The 23,569-nt window shown below is 44.4% G+C and overlaps 2 protein-coding genes across 23 annotated transcripts in view, besides 1 other annotated feature; one reads left to right on the plus strand and one right to left on the minus strand.

Annotated features, from left to right (window-relative positions):
• ZNF790 (zinc finger protein 790) overlaps window positions 1-14,555 on the minus strand; it is a 33,365-nt gene extending 18,810 nt beyond the window's left edge. Inside the window, exon 1 of one of the 9 annotated variants that reach the window (NM_001242800.2) lies at window positions 14,463-14,555. The gene's annotated coding sequence lies outside the window, so the exon portion shown is untranslated. Of the gene's footprint in view, window positions 1-1,434; window positions 1,791-2,030; window positions 2,151-2,319; window positions 2,465-10,461; window positions 10,877-13,764; window positions 14,049-14,462 lie in introns of those variants that run through there. The other 8 variants (NM_001242801.2, XM_047438800.1, XM_005258903.6 and 5 more) reach the window with 8 other exon arrangements.
• ZNF345 (zinc finger protein 345) overlaps window positions 14,128-23,569 on the plus strand; it is a 42,854-nt gene continuing 33,412 nt past the window's right edge. For 5 of the 14 annotated variants that reach the window (NR_038362.2, XM_017026570.3, XM_017026572.3 and 2 more), the window contains exons 1-2: window positions 14,639-14,731; window positions 15,593-15,667. The gene's annotated coding sequence lies outside the window, so the exon portion shown is untranslated. The other 9 variants (NM_001242476.2, NM_001242475.2, XM_047438566.1 and 6 more) reach the window with 8 other exon arrangements.
• Window positions 14,162-14,401: an enhancer, noted in NCBI's record as "active region_14535". NCBI's record gives its function as "activates an Ori minimal core promoter by ATAC-STARR-seq in GM12878 lymphoblastoid cells {active_cell/tissue: GM12878}" and the evidence as "EXISTENCE:reporter gene assay evidence [ECO:0000049][PMID:35858748]".

Here is a 23,569-nt window from a genome sequence, read left to right on the forward strand (position 1 = left end):
CCCGCTTTCTCCCTTTCCCCCACTTAGTTGCCTTCACCCAAACCAAAGAAGTTTAGTCTAAGATGAAAGTTTGCTAGCCTGCAAAATAGCTCATTTTGTCTGCTTTTATCAGCCTGCCCAGCTGCTTAGGTCATAAGTCAACTATTGAAGAGACCTTGAGCTAACTAGGATTGCAGTGCATTGTGGGCCGCAACCAAATGCAGCAAGACAAGCCTAAAAAAAAAACACACACACACACCGGCTGGGCGCGGTGGCTCACGCCTGTAATCCCAGCAGTTTGGAAGGCCGAGGCGGGCGGATCACAAAGTCAAGAGATCGAGACCATCCTGGCCGACACGGTGAAACCCCATCTCTACTAAAAATAGAAAAGTTAGCTGGGCGTGGTGGCACGCACCTGTAGTCCCAGCTACTCGGGAGGCTGAGGCAGGAGAATCCACTTGAACCTGGGAGGCGGAGGTTGCAGTGAGCCGTGATTGCACCACTGCACTCCAGCCTGGTGACAGAACAAGACTCTGTCTCACAAAAATCAAAAAACAAAACACCTGAAGCCCCTACCCAACAATCAATAGGCAACATCCGGGAAGATTGTGACCCCATAGTTATCAGCCTATGAGGAACCAGGGGAGGAACCTGTGCACTAGGGGATAAATTGCTTGTTGAAACTGTTGGGTGTGCCTATCAGACACTGATCTTGCAAGACCATCATTAAAAGTCTCACTTTTGCTGTTCTCCGGGTCTCTGAGTCCATTCTTTGGGACGGGTAAGTTTGTTTCTCACACTCAAGAAATCATCTTTCACTATCCCACGCTATCTCTCCAAAACTGACTTGAATCCAACCAGAATAAATGTCAATCCAACCTTGTATTTATATTTATCTACTATAAGAAGTCCCAGAATTTCTAGTCAACTGTCTTTTCGGACATTGTATACCATCAAGTCTCATTTGTCCCCTTTTCTCATTCTTCCCAACTTTCAACACTTTTCCTGTATGCCTTCATAATGGAATTCATAATTCATTAACAACCAACTCCTCTTTTATCTTCAACCACTTCCTTGAACACGCCCTAACATTCTGAGTCTAACAGAAACTAGGCTGTATCTGGAGGACTCTGCAGCCCTCTCAACATTTCCCCAGCTACAGCCTCTTACCAGTGGGTCTGAAAATGGAACAGATGGCCGGCCTCCTTGTTGTTCACTACCTTCAGACCTTTCTTCCTCCCTCCACAAACTCTAGTTTTGAATTTCCTGCCATGAGATTGTATATAACTCACCACATCTCACTTTTGTTGACCTCTACCAAACACAGGGTATTTTCCCCCTATATCTGAAATCTTCAGCTCATGGTTTACTCTCTGCAGCGCGATTACCCTTTTCTATTTTTTTTAATTCTTGCATTTTTAACTACACCCACACAGATGAGCCTTGTTTACTTACCCTTGCCTGGACTTTTCCCCCCTCTCGTGGCTCATTTCCAACAACATGTTGATGGGTGGTTGTTCCCCAGCCGTCTTCCCCAGCCCTCTACCCCAACCTGCTGCTCCATTTCTCTGCTCTAATTTACGGAGAAACTCTTGAACTATGTTGTCTACACTGTGTCCCATTCTTCTCCCCTCCTTCTAGGTTGCCCCCACTCCAATCCAGCTACGGGCCAGCACAAAAACTGCTCCCCACACATTCACGAAGGACTATGCCTGTCACTCAACGCAAAGCTCAATTCTTTGTTTTTGGCCCCATAGCGGCTGCTATCACCACCTTTACGAACGTGGTCACGCACAACGCGACGCAGTCATAATCACGTACATACAGTCACATTTAAATAGTCCATTAGGGTCACACACAGCGCCTGTCAACGTCGTGTGCGCGTGCGCGCACACACACACACACACACACATACACACACACACACACAAGCTCCCGTCGCGGCCCCAGCTCCTGCATCAATTTCACTCTCGCATCCACTGCTCCCATCGCGATCGCTCGCCCCCACGCTCCCTCGCCGGCAAAGCCACCAACTCCAAAGACATTAGCACCTCACTCCCCTCAGCCCCGGCCTCGGGCCCTCCGGAGTCATTCGGCTTCTGTGTCTCGGAATCACTCACCCGGCCCTGCGGTCCCTTGATGGTGGAAGGTTCCGCGATCTTTCTATTAACCCTAAAGGGACAGAGGGCTGACAGGAAGTTGCCCGGGGAACGGTGCACTCTGGGAAATGTAGTCCGGAGCCTGGGCCGTCTTTAACTGCCCCGGACACCGCGGTCACCATTAACGGACCCTGCATTTGAGCCCCATCCCCTCGCTGGGCAAAGACCATCGCCCACACACCGCTCACATCTGCTGCCGAGAGCTTCCAGAATTCCAGGCCGCGTTTAGGAAGCTTCAGCGGAGGCATGCAGGCTGCCCTACCTCTGCAAAAGGCTCCCAGCCCTGGGAACAGGACAGTAAGCCCAGGCCATCTTAGGCTGGAAGTAACCTTGGTCCCGACGGCCCTGGGAAATGTAGTCCAGAGCCTGGAACACTGCAGAAATGCCCCGGGGGGATGGTGCGATGGTTTTCAGTAGGAGCTCGCTGCGTGGGCCTCTGACCTATGTGGCATGGCGGGAAAGTCCTACAAGACTGTGCCAAGCGAGTGGCGAGTCTGTCCCGTCTCTGCCCGAGCCTCGGCCCGGCTGGGTGGACACCTCTTGTCCCACAAGTACCAGCCTGGGATAGAACGAAGGGGAAACGATCCATGGGACACAGCTACATGCCCAGCCCTATAGGGGTACCCTGTCTGGGAATCCATGAGAACTCTTCCTAATACCTTATTCCCATCCTCCAATCGCCCTTAAAGTGTTTGGTTTCAATTAATGTTTATAGTAACATTAGTACTGTTTTGTAAATTCCATTCATGCCATTCTTTTTGCTGAAGTACACACTTGCCAGTTTTCATTTGCTTCTCTTTTAGATGTACATCATTTCAATCTACATCTAAACTTTCTGACAGAGGAGTAATTTTTTTCAGTACTTTCAAACTTATCAGGTAACTAAAATAGTTGTTTCTTTTTTTATTGTGAAACAGAAAATACTTGAAGTGCATAAAATGTGTAAGTTCAGTATAACTCCACACAAGTGTTGGTATCTCAAGAACAAATGCCCATTCTATGTGATCATTTCTCTTTTTGTTTGTTTGTTTGTTGTTTTTTTTGAGACAGGGTCTGGCTTTGTCACCCAGGCTGGAGTACAGTGGCACGATCTAGGCTCTCTGCAACCTCTGCCTCCCTGGCTCAAGTGATCCTCCCACCTCAGCCTCCAGAATAGCTGGGACTACAGGTGTGTGCCATCACACTCAGCTAATTTTTATAGAGACAGGGTCTCGCCATGTTGGCCAGGCTGGTCTCGAACTCCTGGGCTCAAGTGATCCTCCCAAGTAGGCCTCACAAAGTACTGGCATTACAGGCATGAGTCACTGCACATAACCTGTGTGATCATTTCTGATACCCAGCTCCAGCTCCAGCTGATCTTTAGGGTATTAATAATATCTTGGCTCTTTAATAGTTTTAATCTCTCAGCTGGACGCGGTGGCTCACGCCTGTAATCCCAGCACTTTGGGAGGCTGAGGAGGGTGGATCACCTGAGGTCAGGAGTTCGAGACCAGCTTGGCTAACATGGTAAAACCCTGTCTCTACTAATAATACAAAAATTAGCTAGGTGTGGTGGTGCATGCCTGTAATCCCAGCTACTCTGGAGGCTGAGGCAGGAGAATCGCTTGAACCCAGGAGGCAGAGGTTGCAGTGAACCAAGATCACACCACTGCACTCCAGTCTGGGCGACAAGAGCGAAACTCCATCTCAAAAAAAGAAAAAAAAGTTTTAATCTTGCTGTGAAATGTATATAAATGCAATCAAATTGTACAAATTTTCTGTCTTGATTAGTTGTTAAACTCCTAACTGGATTAACCGAAAACCCCATAGTAAAGGCCTTACAGAAGGAAAGGTATGCCCATCCAGCCATCAACATCATTTTCCTGGTACTACTGGCAGGGGACCCCAAGACCAACCACTACACGCCCAAGCTCTGATGATTCACTGGGAGGCTCACAGTGAAGTGATACAAAAGAAAATCAGTAAAGAAAAAAGCGCATGGGGCAAAGTCCAGGGGAAACCAGGTGCACACTGCGAAGGGTTCTTTCCCAGTAAATTTATATGGGATTTATTTGTTCCCCAGCAGTGAGTTGTGACAATACATGTGAGATGTTACCAATCAGGGCAGTTTATTATAGATTCAGTGCCCTATGTTTTTATTGGGGGCTGGTCACATAGGCAGTCTGTGCCTAACACATACCAGAATTTCAAATTCCCAGAAGGAAAGCGGGTGTTTAACATAAACCATACTGTTTGTACAAAAAGTTTAGGCATAGTAAGCCACTTATTAGGAAGGTGGGAACCAATCTGAAATTCAAGTTCTAGATGCAAGCCAAAGACTAACCTCGCATATCAGGCCTTTCTAAGGATAAGTAGTCTCAGACCTGCTATGTTAACTAATTTCTGCTCACTACTGTCCTAAAGATGTATGGTTTTCAGCAACATCAAATTACAAGACACATGAAAAGGCAAGAAAAATCATGACACTCAAGACATAAAAGCAAAAAGCAACAACAAACAAATAGAGGTAGACTCAGGTAGGATCTCCCCAGGAGCTTGAGGCTGCAGTGAACTGTGATTGCACCACTGCACTCTAGCCTGGGCAACAAAGCAAGACCCTACCTCAAAAATTAAAAGAAAAGAAAAAGATATGATGTAGATGTTGGAACTATCTAAAAAGGAATTTAAAATATTATTAATATTTTCAAAGCTTTACCATAATGTTTTTCAACCAGAGGTGATTTTGTTCTCCAGGAGATATACAGCACAGTATGAAGTTCTTGGTAGTCACAACTGGAGAGGTACAATTTGCATTTAGAGGACAGAGGTCAGGGAAGCTGCTAAATACACTACAAGCACAGGATAGCTTGCCACAACAAAGAATTATCCAGTCCCAAATAATGGTCCAAGGTTGAGATGCCCTAAGTAATCAAGACAGTGTGTTTTTGGTGAAGGACAGAAAGATAGATTAATGGAAGGAACAGGCTGGGCACGGTGGGTCATGCCTGTAATCCCAGCACTGTGGGAGGCCAAGGCAGGTGGATCGCATGAGGTCAGGAGTTTGAGACCAGCCTGGCCAATGTGGTGAAACCCCATCTCTACTAAAAATACAAAAATTAGCTGGGTATGGTGGCTCGTGCCTGTAATCCCAGCTACTCAGGAGGCTGAGACATGAGAACCTCTTCAACCTGGGGAATGGAGGTTGCAGTGAGCTGAGATGACACCACTGCACTCCAGCCTGGGCAACAGAGCAAGACTCCATCTCAAAAAATATATATATATATTTTTAGGCCAAGGCAGGCGGATCACCTAAGATCAGGAGTTCAAGACCAGCCTGTCCAACATGGCGAAATCCCATCTCTACTAAAAAATACAAAAATTAGCTGGATGTGGTAAGGCAGGGAGAATTGCTTGAACCCAGGAAGTGGAAGTTGCAGTGAGCCGAGATCACACCACTGCACTGCAGCCTGGAGGACATAGCAAGACTCCATCTCGGGGTGGGGGGTGGGGGGAGGGGAGAAGTTATTATTATTTTTTTTTGTAGAGACAAGGTTTCACTATGTTGCCCTGGCTGGTCTCAAACTCCTGGCCTGAAGCGCCCCTCCCGCCTCTGCCTCCCAAAGTGCTTGGATTACAGGCATGAACCACCACTCCTAGCCTATAAAACTTTTTTAGGAACACATAAAAGAAAGTGTACATGACCTGCAGTTAGATGAAGGGTTCTTAGACATGACAACAAAAGCACAATCCATAAAAGAACAACTTGATATACTGGACTTCATAGAAAATGTAAACGTCTGCTATTGAAGTAACACCGTTAAGGAGAAAGACATGGGATAGATTGGGAGAAAATATTTGTAAATCATATATCAGGCAGAGGACTTGTATCCAGAATATATAGAGAACCTTCAAAACTCAACAAGTAAACAAATAACCTCAAGCTTAAAATGTGCAAAGGGCATAAACGGAAATAAAAAGATAGATACCAGGAAAAAATATTATAAAATGTGCCTATATGAGATTTATAAATCACTAATTTCCACCATATATAAAGTGCTCATACATTTCAATAAAAGTGAATAATATTTCTAGAATTTAAAAAATTAGTATTATAGTGAGACAGACAAAGGAAACATAGTTCATGGAAATAATAAGTTTTAAATATTTAAAAAGGTATTCACCTTCATATCCAATGAAACAAAGTTAATAATATAGTCAGAATGAAACTATAAAAGTCACTTTAGGGATACAATGGAGTGGCTTGCAGCAAACCAGTATTCCTGCAGAAAACTAAAAAATCAGATATAATACAAAAAAAAAAAACACAAAGCTTTTTAACTTTTTTTTCCTGTATGAAAAAGACATGAGGGGCTGGGCGCGGTGGCTCATGCCTGTAATCCCAGCACTTTGGGAGGCTGAGGCAGGTGAATCACAAGGTCAGGAGTTCGAGAGCAGCCTGGCCAACATGGTGACACCCTGTCTCTACTAAAAATACAAAAAATTAGCTGGGCGTAGTGGCGGATGCCTGTAATCCCAGCTACTCAGGAGGCTGAGGCAGGAGAATCGCTTGAACCCAGGAGGTGGAGGTTGCAGTGAGCCAAGATCGCACCACCACACTCCAGCCCTGGCAACAGTGAGACTCCATCTCAAAAAAAAAAAAAAAAAAAAGACATGAAGGAGTGTTTGGGACAACCAGGAATAGCGTAGTCAAGACTATAGATTGTAGGTAATCACAGACATTGTGCAGCCACATTTTTCCTGGATTATTTGCCAATTCTTGGCAAAGGGCAGAAGGATCCAGACTGCTAGGACTTTAGTTTTCTGGGCCTAAAAACACAACATTGGAGACTTTATGGGCCAAGATCCCTGTGAGAAAAGAGGGACACAGACTTGAACTCTACATAAGGCTGGTTTTCTTCTCAAGACAGTTACCCATTTCTGAAACTGGTTGGGTCAGGAGGCTCAGGAACTTAGGCGGAAAGCTTCCAAAAAGCAGCAGAGTTTTTGGTAGTCTTGCTGGATTAAGAAGACAAAGATTTTGAGTTCAGGCCCTGTCAGGGGAAGGTGCCTTGGTGAACACACCAGATCCTCCTGAAACCCTGATGGGCTACGTCCTAGGAGCAGGCAAACCAGAAGCACAATGAACCTCCACAACCGTAATGGAGCCCTGACTCAACTCAATCACTGATTAAATGAAGGTCATCAGCCCCTACTTGATCTGCCCAGTAAAGGAAAGGATGAATTCTCTAAAGGAAGATATTATCTGCAGCCTCTACTATTTTTATACACCAGTCCAGAATTTAATTTTAAAAAGTATTAAGCATGCCGAGACAGGACTGTATGACAGAAAACTCTGAAAAAACAAACAGGTCGGCCAGGCACAGTGGCTCACACCTGTAATCCCAGCACTTTGGGAGGCCAAGGTGGGTGGATCACCTGAGGTTGGGAGTTCGAGACCAGCCTGACAAATATGGAGAAACCCCGTCTCTACTAAAAATACAAAATTAGCCGGGCATGGTGGCACATGTCTGTAATCCCAGCTGCTCGGGAGGCTGAGGCAGGAGAGTTGCTTGAACCCAGAGGTGGAGGGTGCAGTGAGCCGAGATTGCACCATTGCACTCCAGCCTTGGCAACAAGAGCGAAACTCCATCTCAAAAAAAAAAAAAAATTAAAAAAAAAAAAAAGGCCGGGCAGGGTGACTGATTCCTGTAATCCCAGCACTTTGGGAATGCCTGGGTGGATTGCTTGAGCCCAGGAGTTTGAGATCAGCCTGGGCAATATGGCAAAACCTCACCTCTATAAAAAAATTAGATGGGTGTGGTGATACATACCTGTGGTCCCAGCTACTTGTGAAGCTGAGGTGGGAGGATCGTTTGAGCCCAGGAGATTGAGGCTGCAGTGAGCTGAAAACACACCACTGTGCTCCAGCCTGAGCAATAAAGCAAGACCCTGTCTCAAAAACAAAACAAAACAAAAAACAAAAAAAAAAAAACCCAAAAAGCCCCCAAACTCCAAACAACAAACAAACAAGCAAACAATAGAAATAGACCAAAATGTGATCCTGGCATTAGAGTAAGTAGGCAAGGACTTTTTAAAAAGATGAAAAGATGAAAAATTACACCAAAGAACTAGTGTACACATTGGTATGTATAATTGAAGTCCCAAAAGAAAAGTAGAGACAGCGTGGAGAAGAACCCTATTTGAAGAGACAATGGCAAGGAATTTCCCAAAACCGATTAAACACAGCAACCATAGATTCAAGAAGTTCACCAAAACTCTGAGAAAAAAAATATATATAACCTAGAATTCTATAGTCAGTAAAAATCTCCTTCAAAAAAGAAAGGATAAAAAGACATTTCAGACAGACCATGAGAATCCATTGCCATCAGAACACCACTAAAAGAAATACTAGGGCCGGGCGCGGTGGCTCACGCCTGTAATCCCAGCACTTTGGGAGGCCGAGGCGGGCGGATCACGAGGTCAGGAGATCGAGACCATCCCGGCTAAAACGGTGAAACCCCGTCTCTACTAAAAATACAAAAAATTAGCCGGGCGTAGTGGCGGGCGCCTGTAGTCCCAGCTACTTGGGAGGCTGAGGCAGGAGAATGGCGTGAACCCGGGAGGCGGAGCTTGCAGTGAGCTGAGATCCCGCCACTGCACTCCAGCCTGGGCGACAGAGCGAGACTCCGTCTCAAAAAAAAAAAAAAAAAAAAAAAAAAAGAAATACTAAATGGAGTTTTTCGAGAAGAACAAGATCTCAGATGAAACAGAAAGAAATTTAGGCCAGGCACAGTGGCTAATACTAGTAATCCCAGCAATCTGGGAGGCCAAGGTGGAGGTTCATTTGCATCTAGGAGTTCAAGACCAGCCTGAGCAATATAGCAAGACTTTGCCTCTACAAAAAATCAAAAATTAGCTGGGCGTGGTGGCGCACACCTGCGGTTCCAGCTACTCAGGAGGCTGAGGTAGGAGGATCACTTGAGCCTGGGAGGTCGAGGCTGCAGTGAGCCATGATCATGCCACTGCACTCAACCTGGGTGACAGAGTCCCTGTTTCCAAAAAAAAAAAAAATTAGTAGGGAAAGAATAGCAATAGAAAGAGTAAGTATGTGAATATAAATGAATATTGACTGCACAAAGTAATATACTGCCCTCTGGGGTTTTGAATGTATGCAGAATTAAATAACAAAAATAAAGCAAAAATGAGGATGGAGGTAAATGGAGTTAAAGTGTCCCAAGGTCCTCTAGCAGTATTGGGGAAATGGTAAAGTCAATAATTTGTCCTAGACTAAAAGAAAGAGGAATGCTGTAATCTTTCAGGTAATCACTAAAAGATTTTTAAAAACATGTACAACAAATTGACAGAAAAAATGGATCCACCTTTGGCTTTGCAGAAAATGACAGTGCAATATGACAGCACAAAGATTTATAAAGAACCTAGATTCTTTTTTTTTTTTTGAGGGGGGTGGTGGGAGACGGAGTTTCACTCTTGTTGCCCAGGCTGGAGTGCAATGGCATGATCTCGGCTCACTGCAACCTCTGCCTCCCGGGTTCAAGCGATTCTCCTGCCTCAGCCTACCCAGTAGCTGGGATTACAGGAATGCACCACCACACTTGGCTAATTTTTGTATTTTTATCAGAGACGGCGTTTCACCATGTTGGCCAGGATGATCTCGAACTCCTGACCTCAGGTGATACGCCCATCTTGGCCTCCCAAAGTGCTTGGATTACAGGCATGAGCCACCACACCTGGCCCCAATCTTATCTTTATCTGGAATATGATATATTTCATTTACACATTCATTGTCCACTTCCCCAACTAGAATGGTATACTCTGTGAGGACAGGAAATCTTGGCTGTTCTGTTCACTGATATTTTCCTAGTGCCTAGAATAGCACCTGGCACAGATAAGGAGCTCAATGAGGCCAGGCGCAGTGGCTCACGCCTGTAGTCCCAGCACTTTGGGAGGACGATGCGGGCAGATCACAAGATCACGAGGTCAGGAGATCGAGACCATCCTGGCTAACACAGTGAAACCCTGTCTCTACTAAAAATACAAAAATTAGCCGGGCATGGTGGCAGGCGCCTGCAGTCCCAGCTACTCGGGAGGCTGAGGCAGAAGAATTCTTGAACCCGGGAAGCGGAGGTTGCAGTGAGCCGAGACAGTGCCACTGCACTCCAGCCTGGGCGACAGAGCGAGACTCCGTCTCAAAAAAAAAAAGAGCTCAATGAATATCTGCTGAATGAAGAAATACAATGGTTGACAGGAACAGGAAATAGGAACTTTCATACATTTCTGGTTGGAATAAAAATTAGTTCACCATTTGTGGAAGGTAAATACTTACATAGCCTCTGTGTTCTAACTGCATTTCCTTAGATTCTCTATTAGTCTATTTGGCACTCGTTCATCAAGAGGCCAATTATATTAACTATATTTTCTTATTTTCTGTATTCTTGATGCTCTGGCATTTGGGGACCTTACCAAAAACAGGGAGAGGCTGCTCCTCTCAGGGCTAATTCCTAAAGATAATCACAGTTTTCCAATGAGCACAGCTTACATATGCAAACCAACCAATCCTGAGTCTATACCTCTCTGATATTGTGATGTAATAAGAAATATGTATTTTGGTCTTTATCCATGCCCATGGTTCTTGGTTCATGGGTCCTAAAACCCTTGTAGTTTCCTAAACAGAGTATTTTCTGTTAAAACACTTGTTCTTAGCCAAGTGCGGTGGCTCACACCTGTAATCCCAGCACTTTGAGAGGCCAAGGCAGGCAGATCATGAGGTTAGGAGTTCAAGACCAGCCTGGCCAACATGGTGAAACCCTGTCTTTACTAAAAATACAAAAATTAGCCGGGTGTGGTGGCGCACATCTGTAATCCCAGCTACTCGGGAGGCTGAGGCAGAATTGCTTGAACCCGGGAGGCAGTGGTTGCAGTGAGCCGAGATTGCGCCACTGCACTCCAGCCTGGGCAATACAGTAAGACTTTGTCTTGGGAAAAAAAACAAAACAAAAAACAAAACAAAAACACTTGTTCTTTTGTCCTTGGTTATGTTCTGAATGTGTTCCCCAAAATTTATATAGTGAAACTTAATCGCCAATGTGTTAGATTAAGAAGTGGAGCCCTTCACGCCTGTAATCCCAGCACTTTGGGAGGCCGAGGCGGGTGGATCACCTGAGGTCAGGAGTTCGAGACAAGCCTGGACAACATGGTGAAACCCCGTCTCTACTAAAAATACAAAAATTAGCCGGGATTGGTGGCATGTGCCTGTAATCCCAGCTACTTGGGAGACTGAGACAGGAGAATCACTTGAACTGGGGAGATGGAGGTTGCAGTGAGCCAAGATCACGTCATTACACTCCAGCCTGGGCGACAAAGAGAGACTCTGTCTCAAAAAAAAAAAAAAGAAGTGGAGCCCTTAGGAGGTGATTAAATTATGAGGGAAGAGCCTACATAGATGGAATTAGTGCTTTCAAAAAAAGGATTGAGGGAATGGGTCCAGCCCTTCAGTACCTTCTGACATGTGGGGACACAGCATTCCTGCCCTGTGGAGGATGCAGCAGCAAGGTCCCATCTTGGAATCAGAGAGCAGACCTACCAGACACCTATCCTGCTGGCATCTCAATCTTGAACTTCCCAGCCTCCAGAACTGTGGGAAATAATTTTCTATTATTTACAAATTACTTTTCAGGTATTTTGCTTCTCAGGTATTTTGCTGTAGAAGTACTAAGGGACTAAGACACTTCAGTTCCTGAAATAGCACCAGAGTAATAAATGTGAAAGATGTCTTTACTGTTCATTAACCAACCCCTTTCAACCACAAGTGAGTTAATGAGGTGAAGTTAGTAAAGCCCCTACATAACCACAGGATAGGGCAACCAAACATGTGATTAGAATGTTGGAAAGTTCTGCCCTACCCCATGACTTCTGGGAAAAGGAAAAGGGCTGAAGGTTGAACTCATCACCAATCGCTGCTGATTTAATTAATCATGCCTACATAATGAAGCCTTCATAGAAACACAAAGGGCTGAGTTCAAACAGCTTATTTCCCGGACTACCCCACAGGCGTTTTCTTTTTTCTGTTTTTTAGGAGACATTGGTGGGGTAAACATACAAAAATGTGATTGCCTCACTCAACCAAGAGCCTTAGCCATAATTAAAAGATGTTCAGATGGAGCTGTACAGGAATGTGATGCTGGAGAACTAGAGCAACAGAGCCACATTAGGTATAGATCGCTTGCCTGTATAGTCCAAATTTTGTTGTTTTTGTTTTTTGGGTCTTTTTGTTTGTTTGTTTGTTGTATTTTGTTTTGTTTTAAGGAGCGGAGAGTTTAATAGGCAAGAAGGAAGGGAGAAGACAGAAGGAAGAAGTTCCCCCATACAGAGATGGGGGTTGGGGGGGTGGTGGCTCCAAAGCCGAAAGAGGAGGTCCCCTTGTTTTTTGGGGGTTTTTTGAGACGGAGTCTCACTCTGTCATCCAGGCTGGAGTGCAGTGGTGCGATCTCAGTTCACTGCAACCTCTGTCTGCCGGGTTCAAGCCATTCTCCTGCGTCAGCCTCCAAAGTAGCTGGGATTACAGGTGCACACCACCACGCCCAGCTAATTTTGTATTTTTAGTAGAGACGGGGTTTCACCATATTGGCCAGGCTGGTCTTGAACTCCTGGGCTCAAGTGATCCACCCACTTCAGTCTCCCAAAGTGCTGGGATTACAGGCGTGAGCCACCGCACTCATGCTTGGTTTTTTTGTTTTGTTTTGTTTGTAGAGAGTATGCTGTTCAGGCTGGTCTCAAACTCCTGAGCTCAAGTGATCCTCCTGCCTCAGCCTTCCAAAGTGCTGAGATCACAGGCATGAACCACCATGCCCGGCCCTTCCTGCCATTGTTAAAAGCTTCAGGATTATATTTTACATCAGCATTTCCTGTTGTCATACACTTCCTGCCATCATATTTCGGCAACCTCTACCACCTCCCAAAGTTTCTAGCTTAAAAAATTATTGATTTCCTCCTAGCTCCCCTTTCTGTCAGTTTTTTAATTTTATATTTGTTTTCAAATGAGTCCTCACATTGATTTTAAAAATTTAACAAGAGTATAGTGAAAAGGAAGTTCCCCTTTCACTATTTATCTTCCCCATATGCATCTATTATGACGGGTTTCTTTTTTAAACTACTTGGAGTACTCATAACTGATTTTGTACTCTAGTTCAGAAGAAATGTCTGAATGTTAAATGTTTACATAAAAAATGCTATTTTATTATATCAGTAATGGAGCTTCCCCCCTTTAAAACTGCTGCACCAGGAAGATACAACCTTGTTATCACAATTTAAAGAGAAAATGAGACTTGGAGGTTCAGATTCCTCCACAGTCATAGTATCAGCTACCCACGCAGTGACCCACATTCAGGTGATTACACACACTCATACACAGATCCATACACGATCTTGCCCCCCCCACCTCCACACACTCAATATGACCTCCCCACGCCCAAAGCTGCACACATCTTGACCTCACTTCTCTCACACACACACCAATCTGACCCGCACGCGGTTTCTTTCACTCAACTACCCAGACACCCCTCATCCCACCAGCACAAGCAGGCCCACCGCGGTCTCACACACACTCGAGCCTTCCTTTGCCCAGTCTCACATGCATGACTGGGATCGCGGATTTGTCCCCTTCCGACTCCCCATGCTGGTTCGGTCCCAGACGCTCAGGTGCCACATTGGGGTGCGCTCTCCCGGCTCCTCCACACGCTACGCAGCTGCCCGCCTCAAGAGCGTCTGCGTGCTTCCAGCGTTAAGTGGAATTCCAAGCAGCCTCCGGGGCACAGTTAGTCTGGTCACTGCGGCCAGACTGCCGCCTCAGGACCCAGAGAACGCAGCACACTTTAGTTGGGCCCATCTATCCCCGGCGAGGCTTGGACTACGTTTCCCAGGAGACCCTGCGGTCCAGTATGTCTCCCGAGGAGGGGCGGAAGCCCGGGAGCCGCCCTCTGAGGCTGGGCGGGGTGAAAGAAAGCTTGCCCCAGAGGACTTAAACAGGCAAGAAGGACTTGGTTAAAGACTATTGCAATAGTCAACTTCCAATACAACAGCAGCTGGAGATTTATAGCTAACGGGCTGGGTGAAGGAGTTAAAGGATGCTAAATTACTAAGAGGAAGTTAAGTATCAAGAGTGGGGGGATTGTTACTAAACTGGCTTAGCTGGATTCTTGCTGAAGTGCTGTTCGCAGGCTATGGAGGAGGCCTGGCCAAGCAAAAAGGGCTCAGAGGAGCCTGACTAAAGCTTGGTCTAGGGACTCCTTGTCAGGTGAGACTCCCGGAAGGCTCCGATGGGCAGCTCACCTCAAAGAGATAGTTTTGTTGGTGCCAGAGTCCGCGCCAGGGGAATCGGGATGGCTGGGCTGTAGCTTTCGGCAACCTGTCGCTTTCTGGACTACACTTCCCAGAAGCCTCTAGGCCCAGGGCACTCTCCCGCGATAACTAGATTGTCTCTTGAGGAGTGGGCGGGATCTTCCCGCGGATTTGGGCAAGCGGCCTTGGGGCTTTGTGAGATAGCTAGGGTCGACTTGTGTGGATTCTAGTAGAACGGAGCTGACCCTATCCGAACAGGCGTAAGTGAGGCGGCTCGGAGCCTGGCGCGACAGGAACTCCCGACCTGTGTGGGCTGCGTGGGGAACAGGCTAAGGAGCGATTGTGAGGAGTGTGTACGGTTGTGACTGGGGGCGTGTGTCTGTGCGACCGTGTATGGAACTGTGAGGGCGGGGAGGAGGACTTTTTGTTTATGTTTGTGCGGGTGTGAGTAGAGTTTAATTGTGACCGGGTTGGGCACTGTGTTTGCGAGTGTGAGGTTCCTGGACCGCGGTTGTGACTGTATGTCCCCTTGGGGTGTGTGTGTGTGTGTTTACTACCATTTGCCGAACTGTGTGTAGTATGCCTTAATTTTGAGGTTTGTGGCTGCTTCCGTGTGTGTGTGTGCGCGCGCGTTGGTGATATTGTTGATGGAGGGTGCGTGTGAATTTGTTGTCATTGTGACCCCAAGGTGTATGTCACTGGGAATTTGAGAGATGCCCACGGACTCTGTGGTTGTGTCCGTGTCTACCCCCGTGGTGTGTATGAGTGTGTGATTGTGTGTTGTGTTTAGGTTTGGGGTGCCTGTGACGTTTATGTCCCTGCGGTGTGAGTGAGTTTGTGTGACTATGTGTCCGTATAGCCAATGTAGGTATGGGGAGTCTTTGTCTTTGTGACTTCAGCCATTGGAGACCCCTGTGAGCTCAGGGACAGGTTCTGCCCAGAACGGCATTGACCCTACCGTTGTCTGTGATGCCCGGATTAAGCAGGATGCCCTAGACTTCTCTGACCTTCCTCTGTAGGTGATGGGCAGTAGGGGCTGAGCAAAGATAACTTCTGACATAGTCAAACCAACTCCCTCTCAGAAGAACCTGATGTTTCCTGACTGCTTTCTCCTTCCTCAGCCCTGCCCTGCTTGGATAGAGGCCTCCGAACAGGAGTAAAGAATGGCTGTTGAACATCCACAAGGCACCTGCAAGGTAGCTTGTCCTGTCCTCTTGTTTAAGAAAAATCCCTTTTTCTTTGTCAGGACATAGTTGCTTTCCTTCTCTTGAAAATTCTTGCCTATGAGATGACCTGATCCCTGGAGTTTCCATTTTGAGAAAATGTGGTGTCTTCAAACCCCACCTCCCACACCTGATTTTCCCTTACTGATTTGTCAGATGGTTTTAATTTTTCTTTTTCTTTTTTTTTTCTTTCTTTCTTTTTTTTTTTTTTTTTTTGAGACAGAATTACAGGCGTGAGCTGCTGTGCCCGGCCTTATCCTTCTACTCTTGATGGACATTTGTCTTGTAATTTTTGGCTACTACAGGCAGTGTGACTATGATCATTTTGTGCGCATATTTTGGTACACATTTGCTTGCATTTCTTTAGAATATATACCTAGTGATTAAATTGCTGATAGTGGCTGGATGCAGTGGCTCATGCCTGTAATCCCAGCACTTTGGGGGGCCAAGGCGGGCGGATCACGAGGTCAAGAGATCAAGATCATCCTGGCCAACATGAGGAAACCCCGTCTCTACTAAAAACACAAAAATTAGCTGGGCGTGGTGGCACGCGCCTGTAGTCCCAGCTACTTGGGAGGCTGAGGAGAATCGCTTGAACCCGGGAGGCAGAGGTTGCAGTGAGCCAAGATTGTGCCACTGCCCTCCAGCCTGGTGACAGAGTGAGACTCCATCTCAAAAAAAAAAAAAAAAAGTGCTAATAGGTAGGGTTTGTACATCTTCAGTTTTACCAAACATTGCCAAACTGTTCTCTAAAGATACTGTACTTATGCCAGCAGTTTACAAGAGTTTTCTTAGCTCCACATCCATGCTAGACATCATAAAACTCTTAAATTTTTGCCAATCTGGTGGGTGTCTAATGTTATATTTAATTTAAATTTCCTTTATTGCTAATAAAGTTGAGCATTGATTCTTGGCCATTTGAATGTCCCCTTTTTTGTTTTTTTTGTTTTTTTTTTTTGAGACTGAGTCTCTATTGCCCAGGCTGGAGTGCAGTTGAATGTCCCCTTTTATAAGGTGTTGTTCAAATATTTGACCAATTTTTAATTGGGTTTTTCTCTGATTTACGGCAGTTGTACATATGTGTATATATCTTCTGTAAATTAATCTTTTTTCAGTTGTATGTGTGATAAGTATTTTCACCTGCTCTGGTTTGACTTTTCACTCTATGTGGTGCCTTTTGACAAATAGAAGTTCTGGATTTCATTGTAATAAAATCATTTCCTATGGTTAGTCTTGTTTAAGAAATTTTTGTCTACCTCAAGATAATGAAGATTTTCTTTGGTCTTAAAGCCAAAAGCTTGCTTTCTTTCTTTCTTTTTTTTTTTTTTTTTTTTGACTCGAAGTTTCGCTCTTATTGCCCAGGCTGGAGTGCAATGGCATGATCTCGGCTCACCACAACCTCCGCCTCTTGGGTTCAAGTGATTGTCCTGCCTCAGCCTCCCAAGTAGCTGGGATTACAGGCATGCACCACCATACCTGGCTAATTTTGTATTTTTAGTAGAGACAGGGTTTCTCCATGTTGGTCAGGCTGGCCTGGAACTAGGTGATCTGCCTACCTCAGCCTTCCAAAGTGCTGGGATTACAGGCATAAGCCACCGCACCTGGCCAAGCCGAAAGCTTTCTAGGGTAGGCTTTAATGTTTAGGTCTTTACACCACCTGGAATTTTTATAGGGTAGGATTGAATTTCATTTTTCTCCCGAGTGTGTATCCAGTTATTATAGTATCATTTATTGGAAAGTTCATATTTTCTGCACTGATATGCAGTGCCATTTTAGTAAAAAAATCAAGTGAACATATATGTCTATGTCTATTTCTGGATTCTGTTCCACTGGTCTATTTGTCACTCCTCGCAGTAATAACATACTGTCTTACTCACTGTAACTTTGTATTTGGAGCAAGTACACTTACCTTCTTTTTCCTCAAGAGTGTCTTGGCTATTTGTGTTTCTTTGTATTTTCGTGTCAATTGTTGAATTAGCTTGGTTCCACCCAAACATCTCTTGGAATTTTGATGAAATTGCATGGTACGTATAATTTTTTGAGTAGAAATTTGGAAACTCTTCTACACTTGATCTGAGCCAAAAGGCCAAGAGACAATGGGGGACTCTTCTAATAACATGAGCCTCTCAGTGGATGTAGGTCTTAGTGTTTCTCAACAAGGTCTTGTTTATCTCCTATAAATAGTTCTAGACAAGTAGGAATCACGTAATTCGTTGTACAGAGTATTCCTTTGGCATTGACTGTCTGGAATCTGAGCAGTTCAGATAATGATCAATCATAGTGATAATTTTAGCCTGGGTTTTGTTTTTTTTTTTTTTTATTGAGCACCTATCTCCTCCTGCCTGTCCTTGTCCCCCTCCTCCACCTCTTCCTCCTCCTCAAAAAGCAGCTGTATTAGAAAGACTAAAATGTATGGTAACTTGAACAGCTAGGTTGTACAAGAAAGGAATTGAAAATTCCCTTTCTGATGTCTTCCAAAACTTGAATTTCATTTAAATGCACCTTATTCTTTCCTCAGACCTCTAACTTCACCCTGGAGTTGAGCAGAAACATGGCTTGCCTTTTCCCTCAGATCAGTCTTGGACTCCAGACAAAGGGTTGGAACTTTGAGCCAATAAGCAGGTTACTGGTAACAGTGCCTGAGGAAAGACAAAGCTATGGGTGTAAGGTTCTTTATATACGGTATCCTCCCACTCCTATCTTCTCCAGCTCTTTATGTACTAATATAATTTTTAACATTTTCTTTTATTCTTGGCCTTCTCAAATACGTTTTTGGAAGTGGGGATATGAAAATTAGATTTAGATGTAAATGTAGATATTTATTGTCTAATATTTTTTATGTTAGTAACATCTGGTACAATCAAGCCTGCTTTTTCGTTATCTTTTACTCTTCTCACTTATCAGATTTCTTTTTTTTCTTTTCTTTTCTTTTTTTTTTTTTGGATGGAGTCTCTCTCTGTTGCCCAGGCTGGAGTGCAGTGGTGCAATCTCGGGTCACTGTAAGCTCCACCTCCTGGGTTTGCCATTCTCCTGCCTCAGCCTCCCAAGTAGCTGAGACTACACGCACCCGCCACCATGCCCAGCTAATTTTTTGTATTTTTAGTAGAGACGGGGTTTCACTGTGTTAGCCAGGATGGTCTCGATCTCCTGACCTGGTGATCCGCCTGCCTCAGCCTCCCAAAGTGCTGGGATTACAGGCGTGAGCCACCACGCCCAGCCTTTTTTTTTTGAGACGGAGTCTCGCTCAGTCACCCAGGTTGGAGTGCAGTGGCGCCATCTCAGCTCACTGCAAGCTCCGCCTCCCGGGTTCACGCCATTCTCCTGCCTCAGCCTCCCAAGTAGCTGGGACTACAGGCCCCCGCCACCACGCCCAGCTAATGTTTTGTTTTTTGTATTTTTAGTAGAGACGGGGTTTCACGGTGTTGCCAGGATGGTCTTGATAACCTGACCTCATGATCTGCCCGCCTCGGCCTCCCAAAGTGCTGGGATTACAGGCGTGAGCCACCGAGCCTGGCCTTTTTTTTTTTTTTTTTTTTTTTTTAAACAGAGTTTCGATCTTGTTGCCCAGGCTGGAGTGCAATGATGTGATCTCGGTTCATCACAACCTCTGTCTCCTGTTCAAGTGATTCTCCTGCTTCAGCCTCCCGAGTAGCTGGGATTACAGGCATGTGCCACCACGCCTGGCTAATTTTGTATTTTTAGTAGAGACAGGGATCCTTCCTGTTGGTCAGGCTGGTCTCGAACTCCTGACCTCAGGTGATACACTCACCTCGGCCTCACAAAGTGTTGGGATTACAGGCGTGAGCCACCGCACCCGGCCCATGTTTCTTTTTAACTACGCTTTTCTCTTCCCGACCTATCACCTCCACTGTGCTGTGTGAGGTAATTTCTGCCTCTACATCTTTGCCATCTTTTCTTACCAACTCTTTAGTTCACATATTGTCTTCATTGGGAAAAAAGTCATCTCAGATTATTTTACCCACACTAGCCTTATCTCTCTGTAATACGACATAAAGAGCGTGACCTTAAGTATCAGAAAAATGTGGCATCTGATTTCACCCATACCACTTGTGAGTTTAACCTGTGAAGAAGAGATAATAATTTTCTGTCAGTGTCGTCAAGATTGAAATAACTTATGTGCACAACACTTAATACACATCAGGTGTTGAGAAAATGTTATTTCCCTTCTTTACTTTTCTTTCTTGGGACCTCTATATCAATTACAGTAGAAAGCATTTAACTAAATGCCTTTGGTTTTTCCCAAAATATCTTATATGTAAGTTTTGCTCCCTACCTACATTGTAAATCATTTAGAACCAGGATTGTGACTTTCCGTTCTCTTATATATAACTTTTCAATCCATTTTAAATTTGTTTTGCTTTGATTTGGGGATCTAAATTCAATTTTTTCTCATTTACCTGGTCTTATTCCCATATTATTTATTCAGTGATAACTTATTTGCTTTTCTCTTACTTTGTACTGCCTACTTGGTGATATTATAAGTAATTCGTATTATATATTTGAATTTTTTTTCAGTTCTTTGATTTATGTCTCTGTGCTTCCGCCTGAACCATGTTTAGATTTTCTTTCAAAAACCTTTGAATACATGATCAGATGTGTCACTTCTTAAGATTGTTGTATTTGGCCAGGCCAGTGGCTCATGCCTGTAATACTAGCACATTGGGAGGCCGAGGCAGGCGCATCACCTGAGGTCAGGAATTTGAGACCAGCCTGGACAACACGGTGAAACCCCATTTCTATTAAAAATACAAAAATTAGCCGGGCATGGTGGCAGGTACCTGTAATTCCAGCTACCTGGGAGGCAGGAGAATCGCTGGAACCCGGGAGGCAGAGACTGCAGTGAGCCAAGATGGTGCCACTGCACTCCAGCCTGGGTGACAGAACGAGACTCCGTCTCAAAAAAAAAAAAAAAAGATTGCTGTATTCTTTATTTTCATTACAAAAAGAATTCCTTATTACAACACATTTAGAAAATAGAAGGATAAAGAAAAAACAAAGGTCATCTGTAATCCTATCAATTAGATATAACTACCATCAAATTGTTACAGCAAATACTTAGAATTCTTTTTTTAATGCAATCGTTGTGTAGCTATTGATCTGTGTAACCTGTGTTTATTATGCCAAAATACATATCAACAGCTGTCCATGTTAACATTTATCTTTATCACGAATTGTAATGGCCTCATAGAGTTATTTCACCAAGGCTTTTTTGTTGAATATAGTTTGCTTACAAATTATTGGCTTTATAAATAACCATCTACTTTGGCCAAATGCTAGTGCTTGTTTTTTTCCTTTTCAGTAAAATTATAATTATATACATAATTAATGAATATATTTTTCTTATAAAAATTGTTTATTTATTTATTTATTTTGAGACGGAGTCTTGCTCTGTCGCCCAGGCTGGAGTGCAGCGGCGCCATCTTGGCTCACTGCAAGCTCCGCCTCCTGGGTTCACGCCATTCTCCTGCCTCAGCCTCCCGAGTAGCTGGGACTACAGGCGCCCGCCACCACGCCCAGCTAATTTTTTTGTATTTTTAGCAGAGACGGGGTTTCTCCATGTTGGTCAGGCTGGTCCCGAACTCCCGACCCCAGGTGATCCACCCGCCTCAGCCTCCCAAAGTGCTGGGATTACAGGCGTGAGCCACTGCTTAAATGTCAGTAAATACTTCCAAAATAATTTCATATTGGCTTGATCACTTCACAGTACACTCAGTTGTCTCTAACAGAATCTGCTTTTCTAACTGCCAGTTAGGTCACTTATAGCTGCATAAGGTACAAAATAGCACTTAGAACAAATAATGATTTCATTTCATTTAAGCTATTCTTTTTTTGTTTGTTTGCTTGAGACTAGGTTTTGCTCTTGTCACCCCGGCTGGAGTGCAATGGCACGATCTTGGCTCACTGCAACCTCCACTTCCTGGGTTCAAGCAATTCTGCCTCAGCCTCCCAAGTAGCTGGGATTACAGGCTCCTGGCACAACACCTGGCTAATTTTTTTTTGTATATTTAGTGGAGATGGGGTTTCACCATGTTGTCCAGGCTGGTCTCAAACTCCTGACCTCAGGTGATCCGCCCACCTAGGCCTCCCAAAGTGCTGGGATTACAGGCATGAGCCACTGCGCCTGGCCTAAGCTAGCTATTCTTAACCTTGGTTACTAACCTCTGGTCCCACCCTCAGCAATTCTGATTTAATTGGTCTGGGGTATGGCCTGAGCATCGCCATTTTTCTCATTATTGTTTTAAGACTAATCAAGCCCATTTTTCTTATTATTGTTTTAAGACTAATCAAGCAAAGCAGTGAGAATGGAGAAGGAACAAAGAAATCTGTAACTGGTTGTGATCAATTAGTTGTAAACACCACTTGCACTTGGACTAGCCAATCACAATTTTTAAAAGGTCACCAGATGACTCTATGCACTGCCACAATTGAGAACTGGTGACTTCAGCGCATATAAGCTGATAGAAAAGCATTAAAATTTAATTTGATGCGGAGTGGGTTCAAACTTTGGAATATTTAAAAAACTACCCAAGAGGCAGGGTGCAGTGGCTCACGCCCGTAATCCCAGCACTTTAGGAGGAAGGCGGGCGGCGGATCACCTGAGGTCGGGAGTTCGAGACCAGCCTGGCCAACATGGTGAAACCCCGTCTCTACCAAAAATAGAAAAATTAGCTGGGTGTGGTGGTGGGCACCTGTAGTCCCAGCTACTCGGGAGGCTGAGGCATGAGACCCCTTGAACCTGGGAGGTGGAGGTTGCAGGGAGCCAAGATTGCACCACTGCACTCCAGCCTAGGCGACAGAGTAAGATGCTGTCTCAAAAAATAAAAATCAAAATAAAAAATAAAAAGCTACCCAAGTGATTCTAATGTACACTCAGGAATGAGAATCACTGAGTTAGACAATCGTGATTTGTTTTATGGAGCTGAGCACAGTAACTGGAAGAAAAATCAAAGTCATGTATCAAGGAAGTAGCGGAAGGAGTAGTTTTGGCAGAGGCAATCAACAATATCTGCCATATCTGTGCACTTCCTAGCAATTTATTGTATGAAAATACACTGGTCATCTTAGTGGTGTCTTGTGGGAGAGAAAACCTAAAGTATATGGTACATACACATACCACGTTTAATCAGCAGTCTTCTTTTTAAAAAAAAAAAAAAACTTTCAAAAGCTTTGGGTTTTGTAAATCTTAAACTTTTTTATGGTTTTTTTTTTGTTGTTGTTGACAGCCTGACAGTTGCTCAGGCTGGAGTATAGGAGTGCAGTGGCATGATCTCAGCTCACTGCAGCCTCTGCCTCCCCAGGTTCAAGTGATTCTCCTGCCTCAGCCTCTTGAGTAGCTGAGATTACAGGCATGCACCGCCACACCCAGCTAATATTTGTATTTTTAGTAGAGATGGGGTTTTGCCGTGTTGGCCAGGCTGGTCTCAAACTCCTGACCTCAAGTGATCCTCCTGCCTCAGCCTCCCAAAGTGCTGGGATTACAGGCGTGAGCCACCACACCCAGACTTTTATGTTTTATTTTTATCTTCACCAGTTCTTTTGTTTTTTTTTTTAATTTTGAGATTCTTTTTTTGTGACATTGAATTCAAATCTGTTTTATATTATTTTTATACAGGCATTTAATTCTATCAATTACTTTTTATTTGGTAATTTCTTGATGTCCAGTTTTTGATATGTATCTTGCTCTTGTTTACCTCGTTTCTAGGCTGTTTGTATTTCCATTTAGTTTCATATTTAACATAAGAATTATTTAGGAATATGTTTTGTTAACTTTAAAATTTTTATTAAATTTGAAACTTGTAGAAGTTAAAAGAATAGCATAAAGTATTCCTGTGTACCACTCAGATTCACCAGTTG

This window comes from Homo sapiens, chromosome 19 (genome assembly GCF_000001405.40).
Source record: "Homo sapiens chromosome 19, GRCh38.p14 Primary Assembly".
In the NCBI taxonomy this organism is placed as follows: domain Eukaryota; kingdom Metazoa; phylum Chordata; class Mammalia; order Primates; family Hominidae; genus Homo; species Homo sapiens.